Here is a 14,914-nt window from a genome sequence, read left to right as displayed (position 1 = left end):
TCTTTCTTTCTCTCTCTCTCTCTCTCTCTCACTTTCTTTCTTTTTTGAGATGGAGTCTCGCTCTGTCACCCAGGCTGGAGTGCAGTGGCGCAATCTCGGCTCACTGTAACCTCCACTTCCCGGGTTCAAGAGATTCTCCTGCCTCAGCCTCCTGAGTAGCTGGGACTACGGACGTGTGCCATCATGCCCAGCTAATTTTTTGTATTTTTACTGGAGACGGGTTTTTACCATGTTAGCCAGGATGGTCTTGATCTCCTGACCTCGTGATCCGCCTGTCTCGGCCTCCCAAAGTGCTGGGATTACTCCTGACCTCTCGCGATCTGCCTGCCTTAGCCTCCCAAAGTGCTAGGATTACAGGCGTGAGCCACCGCGCCCGGCCGGAAGAAGCTAACATTTATTTCTATTATAAATTCATGTTACTGATTTTCTAAGTTGTCTTTTTCAGAACAACTGCATTAATCCATTTCTCTAGTAATTTACATAGAATTACAGCTTAATGGATAAGGGTACAAGCTTTGCAGGCAACTTACTGGGGTTCAAAACCTGCTTCGATAACATATCAGCTGTGTAACCTTAGAAGACTCCTTTCCTTCTCTGTGCCTTAGTTGCCTCAGCTGTAAATTACAGAAAATAGGAGTCTGTACCTTATAGAGCTATTGGTAGGATTATATGAGAAGCTCTCAGCTTGGTTCCTGGAACAGCAGGGGCTCAGCAAATGTTAGCCACTGCTGTTAGCTATAACTCTATTATTTTTTAAAGAGCTGCTACATGTAGCGTGGTACCACGCAGATACTAAGACGAATATATTGTTGTTGGTGGTGGTGTTTTTGAGATGGAGCTTCACTCTTGTTGCCCAGTCTGGAGTACAATGGTGCAAACTCAGCTCACTGCAACCTCTGCCTCCCGGGCTCAAGTGATTCTTGAGCCTCGGCCTCCCGAGTAGCTGGGATTACAGGCTTGCAACACCATGCCTGGCTAATTTTGTATTTTTAGTACAGATGGGGTTTCTCCATGTTGGTCAGGCTGGTCTCGAACTCCTGACCTCAGGTGATCCGCCCGCCTCGGCCTCCCAAAGTGCTGGGATTACAGGCATGAGCCACCGTGCCCGGCCTAAGATGAATATATTCTTAACCTCCGAGGTGATACTTGTTAGGTGTCTGTTTGATCGCTGTGTGTACTGTATTTAACTTACTCTTATACATACATGCACACCTCCCAAATACCATCGATTCCCCTACACGGAATGCCCTTCATTCCCATTTTCCTATATCCAAATCCTACCAAAATCAGTAAGAAGTAATCTGTCTCTCCCCCTGTAATCCTTTTCTAGAACCTCCCTTCTGGATCTTATCATTTATCTTACCGACTACATGTGTATGTTCTTTTTCTTACTTTTTTCTTTAATTTTAGAGACAAGGTCTTGCTCTGTTGCCCAGGCTGGAGTGCAGCAGTGCCATCACAGCTCACTGCAGCCTTGACCTCCTGGGCTCAAGCCATCCTCCCACCTCAGCCTCCAGAGCAGCTGGGACTATAGGCGCGCACCACCATGCCCAGCTAATGTTTGTATTTTTTGTGGAGATGGGGTTTCGCCACGTTGCCCAGGCTGGTCTCAAACTCCTGGGGCTCAAGTGACCTGCCCGCCTCAGCCTCCCAAAGTCCTGGGATTACAGGTGTGAGCCACCACACCCGATCTACTCATGTATTTTCTTCTCTTCCCCGCTAGCCTGTAAGCTTCTGAAGGGCAGCAGCTGAGGCCTCTTTATCTTTCTATCTCCCTTCATCCCTAGCACAGCGTCTTATGACAGAAAATGCTCCATGTAGAACGGGTGAATAAATGGATGAACATTTTTAAATGTACCTGAAAGTCTGTTATGGAAAAAGAAGAAGTTGTTTGAATAATATTAACAGTAATAACTGGAAGAAAGCAGCCTTGCTTTGTTTTCATACATGCTAGGCTAGACGTGTTTAGTGAACATGCTTACGAGGCACTTGTTTCAAATACTGTCATTTTTTTTTCCCCCAGAGATGCGGTCATGCTATGTTACCCAGGATGGCCTTGAACTCCTGGGCTCAAGCGACCCTCCTACCTCAGCCTCCCAAGTTTCTGGGACTGCAGGTGTGCACCACAGTACATGGCTTCCACTGTCATCTTTTAATTATGCGGAACTCTAGTTTAAGAGTGAGTGTGTGTGTGTGTGTGTGTGTGTGGTTTTTAAACACGTACATGTAAGTGAGAGGCCTGGTGCACTTTACTAAACCTACTTGCATTGTTTGTTAGAATGATTATCATTTGATTCTGATATACTTAAACATATATATTTACACAAAGTTAAAAATTTAAAAAAGTGATTATTACAAAATCATAATATAGTATCATAGAGACAAGTAAAATTCTCAATAAAAAATTTTAGCCTTATCACCTTCTTATACTTTGTACTCTGATATTTGTGAGAAGATATTTATTTGTATAGCAGTACTGAGCTTGAAAGAATAGTCATACATTTGGAATACAGTCACCATTTTCATTAATGACTTACTGAGCTCCAACTCTGCAAAGTGATGAGCCAGGGGCTCTGAGAAATATAATACTGATAAGACCTCTCCTCCTACTTGAAGAATAACACATTCCAGAAGCAAAAAATAGCAAGTACACAAAAAACTTCCAAATATTAATTCTTTTTTTTTCCACATTTTGCTTTTTCCTCCTTTGAGTAATTCATTTACTCAAATGCCATCAGCTCAAAGTGGGAAGAAGGATTCAAGGGGAGAAGCGCTCCTTTCTGACAAGAATCAATGGGGAGGCCTAGGTAGAAAAATCAGGATTTCAGGGAGACCTTGGTAAGAAGGTAAGATTATAATAGAGCTAGAGAAGGTCAGAGGGGTATTCTAGGTATAGAGAACAGCAAATGGAGGGAAAAAGGGGAGCTATGTGTACTGACATTTGTCTGGAAATCAGCAGGTAAGAGGGTTTCATCTTAGATGAAATAAGACTGGAAGGTTGAGAGCCTATCAGGATGACCTCACATGCCATGTTGTCATTTGCCTTTCTCTAATAGAGTGGCACCATGGAAGGTTTTCAGAGTATAGCAACAGAGTCAAGGCAGAGGCTTATGAATATTCACCGGGCAATGGTCAGCAAAAGAGACTGGAAGGGTGTTGAGACAATTTTGATAACCTTTGTGAGAGGTCAGCAGAACCTAAGTTACAATGAATTTAAGTGGTGGGTCTGAAGGTCATTTCAATGAACTTTCTGAAGTTCAAACTAAGGAAATACCTTAAACAAAAGATCATCCAAGCAATTTAAATGCCTAATGTCCAGATATAGGAACTTAATAATGGGTTGTCTTAAATCATTATTAGAATCATTGATTATCAGAACTGGAAGGAAACTTATAAATCATCTAGCCTCACCTCATTTTATAGGTACATAAGCAGGCCCAAAGAGTTAAGTAATTTGTCAAAAGTTGCAAAGAATGCCTGGAGTGAATGCCTACAGAAGATACTATAATTCAGGTTTCTTCAATCCTAGGCTGTCTGGGGACCTCCCCTAAGAAAAGTATATGGTTTTAATTGTTACTGCCCCCTGAAAATACTCTTCGAATCATTCTTCTTTATTCTTTTCTTATATATTCGAAGACCCCATTTCAGTCTTATCGGCTGGTGGCTGTTCTTCCATTGTTCTTTAAAACATGATCCTTTCTATGTGCTTTTAACCACTCCCTTAGCTACAATGAATACCTTTATGTAAAAGGGATCCAGATCTAAGCCTCTAGTCATGACCTTCTCCTCACACCAAGCCAACATTGGACATCTCCACTGGGGTTGCACAATGAAAAGTATTCTTTTCCTCTGCTACCTCTTTTAAGTTCCTCAGTTGGCTTAACAGATCCTCTAGTCAATTTGGGCTAGAAAACTTACAGTCACCTTTAATTGTGTCCTCTCTTATTCATGACTCCAAATACCTTCTGAAGATACTACTTCCTTTCCACTTCACGGGACAGCCACAGCCAAGGGCTTCATTACTCTCCCCCTGGACTATGGTGCTTATATTCTAACTGGGGTCCCTGCCAGTCATCTCTTCTCAACCCATCCATTTTTCACAAAGCTCTTCAATTACCTTCTTTAAATACATATTTGAATCTGTCATTATTCAAGCCCTCTTGACTTCTTACTTGAACTAAACAGCCTCCTGAGGAGTTGGTACACTTTTCTGTAAAGGGACAGATAGTAGATATTTTAGGCTTTGAGGACCATATTCAACTCAAGTGTGGTAGTGCCATACATAATAAATGAAGGATAATGGTAGCATTTTCCAATCAAACTTTATTTATAGATGTATAATCTTTATGTGTCAAAAAATATTGTTTCCCCTTTTTTTCATCCACTTAAAAATATAAAAACCATTCTTAGTTAATGGTCACACAAAAACAGATGATGGGTCAGACTTGACCCATGGGTTGCAATTGCTGACCTTGGGCTAACTGGTCTTCCTGTCTCCTAGATCAACTCTCAAAGCTCACTTTCCACACTGCTCTCTGAGTCCAGCTCCCAACCCAGAAAGTCAATCATGTTGACGCTCCTGCCTAAAATGCATTAAGAGTAACTCAGAATGGGCGAAACTCCGGAGATGGCCCATAAGGCTCTTCTGCTGGTCCCTGCTCCCCTTTCCAGTCTTATCTCCTACCAAACACCTAATCTGATAGTAGAGTTTCTGTTTTCTCCCATCTTTATGTCTCTGTATATATTGGTCTCTCTACCTGGGGTACCCAACCCACTTTCTTCCACTTTCAGAATTCTTACTCATGAACTCACTAATCAAGATTGCTGCCAAATATCTCCACCTCCCTGACTATCCCTTTTCACTGTCAGCTTTCCCTGATATCAGCTTTCTTTGACTATCGCCTTCACCTATGGTGTAGAATGGGCCAATCCCCCTCCCTATGTGCTCCTGTGGTAATCATCACTTTTATCATTGCACTGTTGTCACAGTCTATTACATTTGCATATACAGATGTAGCTTCTTTACTAGAGTATGCGCAATCTAAGGGTAGAAACTGAGTTTTATTTTTTCTCTCTATGCCTAGGACCAAGCAAAGTACTTAAAACATAGTAGGTGCTCAGTAAATATTTGTTGACTAAGTGAATGTTACACTCACCCATTTGGGTCCTTTAATTAATGCTAAATTTCTATTTTCCATTTTTTTTTTTTAGAGACAGGGTCTTACTCTGTCACCCAAGTTGGAGTGTAGCGGCGCAATCACAGCTCACAGCAGGCTTGAACCTCAGAGTTCAAGTGATCCTCCATCCTCAGCCTCCTAAATAGCTGGGTCTATAGGTGCACCACCATGCCTGACTAATATTTTTTGTTTTTTTGTAGAGATGGGGTCTCATTGTGTTGCTCAGGATGATCACGAACTCTTAGCCTCAAGTGATTCCCCTGTCTTGGCCTCCCACAGTGTTGGAATGACAGGTGTGAGCACTGCGCCTGGCCTCTATTTACCGTTTTAAAATCCCATAAGGAGAAACACCAAAAAAGTGGTAGGCTATTTTTCTTTTAGGTTGATGTACAGATCTCTACTACAGTTTTTAAATTTTCTTTGCCTCTAAAGATTTGGATCCTTATTTCATCATTACTTTAAACACGGTTTTCATATTCAATTTTAAACTTTGTTTAGAATATGCCATTTGAAGTGTTTAAGTTGAGACTGTGTGGTAAGGTGTTATCTGCGTGGGAGTTATGTATTTCAGCTGATCTACACTGAAAAAGAACGACACAACATTTCTCAGTCACACACCTGAGTATACTGAATCAATAAAGTATGGTGAGGGGTGGCAAACTTCAAAAAAAAACCAAAAAAACAAAAAAGTACTATATATCAGAAATAGCCCAACAACCAAATCACATTGTCAGTGCAAAGGGGAGATATACACAGTTCCTTGCATTTCTAATTGTCATCTTTAAATTTATGAATGTGGATTTTATAAAACATGAATATAGACTAAGCATAAAATGCTTACAAAAGAGTACCGCACTTAGAAAATAATTTTTATTTCCTGTAAAACTACGTTTAAATTTTAGTAGAATTGGTTTAAATAAAGCTCAACAAAAAAAAAAAGCTTTCTATGGAACCAAGCAAAACCGTTTTTCTTAAGAACAAAGGAATTAGTTACCACTCGTCCATTTTCAGCAGTTGCTGCATCTTAATATGCTCTACTTGCAAGAAATTGATCTTGTCAAACACTATAAATTGATACTATACGGGAAAACTCTCTACGGACTTTGACTTCAGAAATTAACTCTCTGAATAAGACAGAATGGCAAAAGGGGCAAAACCAGCATTAATATTTATTTACTGAAGCTCAGCCACACTGAGACATTAAAAGCTGTCCTATTTCTGAGGTTTAGCAGTGCTTAGCACACAAATGGTTGGTTCTGAATAGAAGTCTGACAGAAAAGAAAAACTATTAACATTACCATGATGAAGCTAAATTCTGAAACTTCTAAGATTAAATAGCCACAGGAATTATGCTAACGTTATGTTCTCAGTTCTACAATGACAATAGTTTAAATGAGCATTAAAAGAACAGTTATTATTCTGCAATATTAAGCAATTTTTTTCTCATATATGTGTTTCATCTATTAGGATTTTTTTCTAGATACCAGACATGTATTAATAATTTATTTTCTTTCTTTGCTTTCTCTTTCTTTCCTCTTTCTTTTATTGTTTAAAAGGGAAGATGTCAAATCATTTGGAATATTATCATAACAAAATGTTTTATACAAGGTTTGATTTTAACAGAACCAGAGGCATCTTAACACTCACCCAAAACTTTGGGAGGTTCACCAACCTCTAGAATATTTTTTTCTCCAAACGCAGGCTGTTCAAGTGGTGCTTTTCTCCATCTGTTAGCATACCGTGCTCAGAATTACATTGTCATATTTAATGTAAAAGGGATCAGTCCCCTTTCATAGTTTAAATTCAACATATTACTATGATTGGAAGACCAATGTTTTTCTAATTTATAAACCAAACCAAATATCATGAACTTACATGTTTATTTAAACAAAGTTCTCTCTAAAAACTGAAAAACTTTAAGAACTGAGCAACCCCAAAGGCTTGATGTGAACACTGCAAAATCGTAATAAAACTCAAAGTGAAAAGAAACCACATATGATAAAGTGAAATATCTACTTTCTCTTTTGAATTTTTCTTTCCATGTGTGTATTTATGTGTGTGTGTATGTGTGTGTATGTTTTTTTCCAATGCAGCAAATTCACAATGCTTACAACCTAAAGAGTCTTACTGTAATTTAGGGCCGAGCTACATATTTACTAAAGTTGATGACAATGATGATCACATCACAAAATCTCATGATGGAAATGAAGTAATTTGAAACCTCAATGGTGTAAGCCTGGTTATAATAATGATTTGAACATGAGCAGTGCCAATCTATTTCATCTCAAAATTTTACACCTCCTTAGGATGCAGATTCCTTATTTTGTATCAGTTCCATTTCAATTTGCATCTTACAATTTATTTACTTTGTCTCTCTCACCACTGACAGTATTTTATTATTTTCCTAAATGAATTCCTCACATCCTTCAGTTCAAGATTTTTATTAGACGTAGAATTAGCAGAAGAGGTAGTAGTGGTGGTAGGAGAAATATGTCATTTCGCTTATATTGATAGAGAATCACCTAAATATTTGAGCATTGTAGATGAAAGGTTTTGTAATCTATCAGTAATTCCCTGCCACACTTATCATTCACATGTCTGGGTGTTTTGCTTACCACATCTCCACTTTTCTTAATATGCCTGAAAGCTAAGTGTGAATTGAATGACTAAGACTAACTCTAACAACTGTTTGGAAGCCTGTGGCAAAAATCAGTGGAATGAAATCGGTGCTATGGCGCATAATGGGATTAGGGAGTACCTGGTGAGGTGCAGTTGGTGCTCAGATTCGCCCAGCAGTTCTGTTAGTCTCAGGCACTCCTCTCTGGCCAGGGCTGCCTTCTGCTGCTCCTGTTCCAAGTGTTGTTTGCTTTCATCCAGTTCTATTCTCAATTTCTCTATTTCCTTAGGTAGAGAGAAGGGGAAAAAGCATCCATATAAAATACATGCACTTGAATTCAAAATTAGCTCATTTTTATTTTTTGCCATGAATTTCAATTTGATAAAAAATTATTAGAAAATTTAGGCTAGCTTCCATTTTATGACAAAAGGAATTAGCACATCCAAAAATGCACATGAATGAGGTTTTATTTTGGATTGTAAAATGAAATCTAATTTTAAAAATGAAATGATTAAATGAGAGTAGTCAAAGTGGATAATTGCACTTTCATTCTAAGAGTCGTTCCCTTTAAAAAGTAATATTTACTTAAAATACCACTGCCTTTAAAAAGTAACATTTTTGTGTGAGATTCAATCAGACACATGCAGTGATTTACATCAAGTATGTACTTTTTATTCTAAAAGATAAATTTATGGCTTCATTTGGGTGTTTCAAAACCCAAATTAAAGGTAAAATAAATAAGAGAGATTTTCGAAAAATGTGAGGTGTAAAAAATGGCATGATTATGATGTTCAATATTACTTGGAAAAAATAATCCAGGAAAAAAAAAAGCATGAGAAATTTAAGCATTGAGAGTGTATGAGATTTCTGAGCTAAAATAATATTTCCATTTAAATTTGCAATTTAAAAAGTCAACAAGAACACTCTAAGACAAATATGAATATATAAAATTTATGAAGGTTTATTTTTTGGTTTCGGGATGAAATTATCCTTATCTTACTGAAACTCAAATATTTCAAAGCAAAAATATCTTATATAGGCCATAATTTTAAATAATTTATATATTAAAGTAGAAATATTTATTTATCAATAGAACATCTGTAAAATTAAGCCAAAGAAAATAAAAGATGAACCTTTAAAAATATTTAGGCTATTAAAACAAGAAAAAAAAAAAGAAAGGGCAGAAACATTTTCAAATTCAGCAGAAAGCAAGAAGCAAATTTGATACAGAAAAAATTGCAACCTCCTTTTGGAAAACAAAATCATGTGTAAGTAGAGGGATTTAAATTTAGTATTTAAATAAACTTCCAAATTTCCTCATGTCCTTATTCAATATTCTGAACAATCTCCAACTACATTTGATACATCATGGAAGATAAATTAAATAATTCATTTACATTTTTTCTTGAATTCATAACAGTATAAATATTCAGTTTATCTCCATCAAAACCATACATTAACCAACAATATAATAACTTAGTACAGTTCTCAAATATTGGCTTATTTGAAAAACTGTGAAATAATTGTATCATTTTCATTCACTGTAGATTTTCTGTATCTTTCAAATTGGAATACTAAGTTAAACTGACTTATTTCTTTAAAATACTGTGTTATTAAAGTTATACCCATATATTTCCAATTTCATAATTAAATATAATTAAAGAGATAAAAATAATAAAGACTATTAAATTTGTATTGTTTAACATTTATAAAATTAACAAAAGCAAAGAAATACAGAATTGGAATTATAGGTTAACTTTAAAACTTCAAAAATTTATTCATTAATTTTCTTACACAGTCCTATATGTAAGAAACTATACTAAATAATATGATGAATTCAGAGTTCCCATCTCTAAACTCAGTAGTTAATAATTCATCTGGGTAAATGAGACATAGATACACAAGAAGACTATCAAAATGCAAAGCATATAAAAACACCAACTGAGTTATAGAGAAAATTCATGCCTCAGTAGCCAGATGAGGGATATATTAGCATGAGCAAGAAAAGTGAGAAAGAAGTAAGGGCACAAAAGCTCCGGAGTGATACTTTAGATCACATTATGAAAGCTCTTTAATTGTAGATTAATAACGCTACATTTTTCTTATAGATAATAGGGTGACATTAATGGTTTAAACAGGTATGCAATATGACAGAGGTTGAGCTTGAGAAAACTGGATCAATGTGTACAATCAGTTTAAGGTGGCAAAGAATGGCGGAAGGGAGACCATGAAAAGATAATTGCAGTATTCCAGACATGAGGAGTGGAGGGACTTAAAACAGAAATATAAAGAGAAAATGGTGATTTTATGGAAATAAAAGGAGAGGAATCAGAAGACCAAAGATTACTCCGGAATTTTGAATTGAGAGAAGACAAAAGAATGACAGAATAGAAAATGTATAAAATTCAAAACTTTTTTAAAAAGAAAAGATACAATTTTTGTAAGCACTATGCAACAATAACAACATATGTACCTTACACTGGTAATTAGGTTTTAAGTACAAATTAGCTGCTTTCTTTTCCTCATGTAATAAAAAGTCAAGGGTTGCGTTGCCAAAACAGTCCAAACACAGAGGTAAAGAACATGGGTCTAACAGCCAACGCAAATCAGGGCTCCAGACACAGCTCTGGCACTTTTCTGTGACCTTGGACAAGTCATTAGACTATCATACAGTTTCTTCCTCCTAAAATCGGAGTGATAACAAGCTTCTAAAGCTGTTGTGAAGATTAAATTAGGCTAGGAATACTTAGCAGAGTGCCTAGCACATAGTAAAATCTGACTAAAAGACAGCAAATATCATTATTACTGATTTTTCCCTCTGTCTTTCAAGAACAGCAAAGTGACAAGAAAAAATGACCCACCTAAGAATATATGACTATCTCTAAAGAGTTCTCAATTTAATTCATAAAAGTTCCCCCTTCTCAATGAAGCAGTATTTTGGTGAAAACTGAATAAAACTTCATCTATTGTAATTTCAAAATGTGAAATGCATTTTTGTTAGGAAGATGGAAAATTACTGCCTGCTTCTGATTATCCATGCCAGTGAAAGAGCTTATTGGTGCAGATAATCAAAATCAACAAATAATCTAACCAGCTGGACCAGGGCTCAACACTTACTCCCTGAGTCAGGAAAATCTGCCATGGCACCAAGTCCAACCGTTAGAAGAGAAATCTCTTGCCAGAAATGCCATGCTCCCACTGGCAGGATAACCCTTTGCCTCACCCAACTAGGTCAGGGCTGCTTCCCTGGCTGTATATAGTAGCTTGGGGATGAAAGACCAACAACAGCCATAGGCCAATTGTACATTACTCTCAAAGCACACTATTAACCTGCATGTCTACAGTGCAGTTTGATGTGGCCATCTTTTGGCTAACTGGGCAAAGGCAGGTCCAGATAGCTTTACACCTTATCAAAAGGTATCTTTCAAGTCATGACTATAACCACCAGAACAACTCAAAGTAGAAACTGTTAAAAGTGGTCACTGCAAGAAAACAGTACTGGGGATCGAATTTGGAAAAGGGAGACTTGATGCTGTTCATTTATATCCCTCCACACTGTAGGAAGTTTTTTTCTTAATCATGGGCATATGTTAACTTTCTTTTTATTGTTGATTAAATTTGCCCATCAAAGTAATGCACCTAATTTAAGTTACATAGTATTAAATGGCTCATAACAAGGAACAGCAGTGCCCATGGTCTACCTCCCCGATTTCAAACCTAATCTCCAATGGCATGCACCATTAGTTCTTCTGATGTTTATCTTCACATTTTTAAAAGACAAACTTATACTGCTATTTCTTAAGTTTTCAATATTAGACCTTTCTTACGTGAAGAAGGGTGACAATTTAGGTCTCGCACCACCCACCCTACATACCCACCTCATGCTCCCATATAATGATTTTGGTTAAAGCATTAGTCAGTAGTTCATTTACATTATAATGATTATGAAAAATTTGCTCACTGCTGAGACAAGCATTATCTTGTTTAAATTAATTTTCTTATGTATCATTTTATTATTTCTAGAATTGTCTAGTTTTTTAATAGTTTGTTTTTCTAGATAACTGACATTTTCCCCCAAATATTCAAACATATCTGTTAAACAATCATCAATAATTTTTTTTAAATGAACATATTAGATAAAGTGTATGTTCTTTTAAGAACTGGATATATCCTTCTTGGCACCTTATGTATGGCCTGGTTGATCTCTATCTTCTGTCAAGCCTTCCCTATGCTCTTTTAGGGTTCTCTGTTTTCTGTGTCATAAGTCATCATGTTTCTCAATTTATTCCCTTTTTTGGTCGAAGTACAATCTCCAGGTAGCTTTAATAAGAAAAGGTACACGAAAAACACATTTTCGAGTATTCGCCTGCCTGAAAATGCTATTATTGTATGTGTACACTTGATTGTTTGGCTGGGTATAAAACTCTATTTTGAAATTAGTTTTCATTCAGGATTTTTAAGAACTATTCCACTGTCTTCTAGATCCTAATAGTACAACTGAAAATCCCTAGGCCATCCTGATTCTTAGTACTTGGTCTATGATTTACATTTTTTTCTTTCTGGAAACTTTTACAGTCATCTCTTTTTCCTTGTCATTTTGAAATTTTGCAATGCTGAATCTTGGAATGGAGCTGTTTTTCATTCCTTGTGCGCAGTTTTCAGTGAGTCCTTTTCAATCTGAAGGCTTATTTTTTTCAGTTTGAGGATGTTTTCTTCTACTATTTTAAAATATTTTAATGCCATACACTTTAGCTCCAGGACATTAGTTGTTGGATTGATTATCTCATTTTCTTATATTTTCCATCTCTGTCTTCTGATTGTAACTTCTGGAAGATTTCTTTGACTGATGACACCTCATTTTGAACGTTAAGAAAATTTTCTACCCATTTTGTATTTCTATGAGCTATTTCTTGTTTTTACGGACACTTTTTTACATAGCATGCTAATTTTAATCTATGAATATAATATTTTACCTATTAGAATATACAGTATTTAAATGTTTTCCTTTGCTTATTATATGTTGCCTCAGTTTCCTCCACATTCCTTTCTTGTTTGTCTGATTTGGACTTTCCATTATGTTGTAGGTTTTCCTCAAATACAGGATAATACTTGGCTATCCTTTTATATTTAAGAATGAGGCAGTTAATAAACGTGTGGGTTTAATAAGTTTTGGGGTAATATGATAGTTTATTTAGACTGTTGTTCAGCAAATATTCACTCCCATCTCCCTTCCACTGAGAGTGGAATACCTTATGTCTCCCCAGGGACTTTGGGCTTAGCCATATAATTTCATTTGGCCAGTGGAATTTGCATGGCTATAATGTAAGCAAAAATCATAAATAGATTTATGTTTAGCTCATGTTCTGGTGATTAACCATGAGAAGTGTATGCACTGGGTAGCCGCTGCCCCTTTGGCTTAGACCACAGAAAGAATACATGGAGATCAGATCCAAACCCCAACCATGGCCCAGACAATGCACAACCCACGACCTGAAGCAGAAACACCCAGTCAAATACAGCACAGATCAGCCAAAGCGTACCTGACCTGCAGACTCATAAATATAAATATACATGATTGTTGGTGCAAGCCACTGAGTTTTGTCAATATAAAATTATTACTTGAAAGGAATAAGGAGTGTTACAACTATACATCACCTTAGAATTCTATTTGATATTTGAAACAACTGCATGAAACATATAGGGCAGGTATCTCTGTTTACACATATAAGAAATTTTGGGTTGAAGACATTGAAAATTGTCTAAAGCAGTACACTCAAGCCTTGAACCAGATCTTCTGACTTCACTGCCTTCACCACATCGTACAATAAATTATGCAGTTGCTTTCAAACATTTTTTTGGCCAAGATCCATAGTAAAAAATCCATTTTAAATCACAATTCAGAGACACACACACATATAAATGTAAGAAGCATTTCAAGAAATAATATTAACTCTTACTATGTGTGATGTGCTCTGACATTTCCTATTCCATCTTATTTTATTCTACTTTTATTTTATCTTATCTTATATATATATTAAGATATATATATAGATAGATATAGATATAGATATAGATATAGATATAGATATAGATATAGATATAGATATGGTTCCCAAGTAGCTGGGACTACAGGCATGTGTCACCATACCCAGATAATTTTTTTTTAATTGTTAGTAGAGACAAAGTCTCGCTATATGGCGCAGGCTGGTCTTGAACTCCTGAGTTCAAGCAATCCTCCCACCTCAGCCTCTCAAAGTGTTGGGATTATAGGCATTAGCCACTATGCCTGTCCAATTCCACTTCTTAAAAAAAAACATTTCTTGCTTCAATCTATAAAATTGATTTCACAATCCTACAATTTGAGAAGCATTCTGTATTTCAGATAATTAAAATATATTTTTTACATAAATTAAGTAGAACCAAATAAAAAGTTTCATTAAAAGAAACTCTACTATACATTTTTCCTGATTTCCTAAGAAAAAATATCCAAAGAAATGAATGCAAAACCTATTTGAAAAATTATATAACATCTTAATTCAAAAGGATAAATTTGCCTGGAAAGAAAAAGAAGCATAAACTATAATACCTCAATGGTAGTGATTTATTCCTGCTAGTAAACATTATGTGACTTAAAAATTATTTCGCCATCTTTAATATAGGGTGACTTGTTTGTGTAACAGAAGATGAGAATGGGGAGAAGAAAAATTACAGAACAGTAAGAAGACTAGATCCAAAAATCCTCGCAAGTTAAAAGAAGGAACTGGTGGATTTGAGGCTGACAAATTTTGACAATGTGAATTTATCACTCAGAAGCCAATGGATGAATTCAAAGAATATATTTCCAAAAGTAAGGTAGTATATAATACTGAAAATTGAAACATATAATCTATCACTTGGGAGAAAATAATCATTTCTATAAAGTTCGGTGTGTGTAAAATATGAACTCATTGGAAATTTAGTATTTACTAGTTCATACTTTTATTAACTTATAGATGTTAAGATTGATTTTGTCAAATCATTAGTAAATTTTTGTCTAGAGCTGCACTAGCTTGCTTTGGCTATTTAAATTTAAGCTAATTAAAATAAAGAATTTAGTTCCTTACTTGCATTAATCACAGTA

At 35.9% G+C, this 14,914-nt stretch overlaps 1 protein-coding gene across 6 annotated transcripts in view; it reads right to left on the bottom strand.

Annotated features, from left to right (window-relative positions):
* SDCCAG8 (SHH signaling and ciliogenesis regulator SDCCAG8) overlaps positions 1 to 14,914 on the bottom strand; it is a 244,051-nt gene that overhangs the window by 113,293 nt on the left and 115,844 nt on the right. For all 6 annotated transcript variants that reach the window (NM_001350249.2, NM_001350251.2, NM_001350248.2 and 3 more), the window contains one exon: positions 7,936 to 8,078. In NM_001350249.2, coding sequence (NP_001337178.1) covers positions 7,936 to 8,078 — 143 coding nt within the window. The remainder of the gene's footprint in view (positions 1 to 7,935; positions 8,079 to 14,914) is intronic.

The sequence above is a fragment of the Homo sapiens genome, chromosome 1 (genome assembly GCF_000001405.40).
Source record: "Homo sapiens chromosome 1, GRCh38.p14 Primary Assembly".
Lineage (NCBI taxonomy): Eukaryota > Metazoa > Chordata > Mammalia > Primates > Hominidae > Homo > Homo sapiens.
The sequence above is the reverse complement of the archived record's forward strand: the minus strand, read 5'-3'. Positions and strand labels throughout refer to the sequence as shown.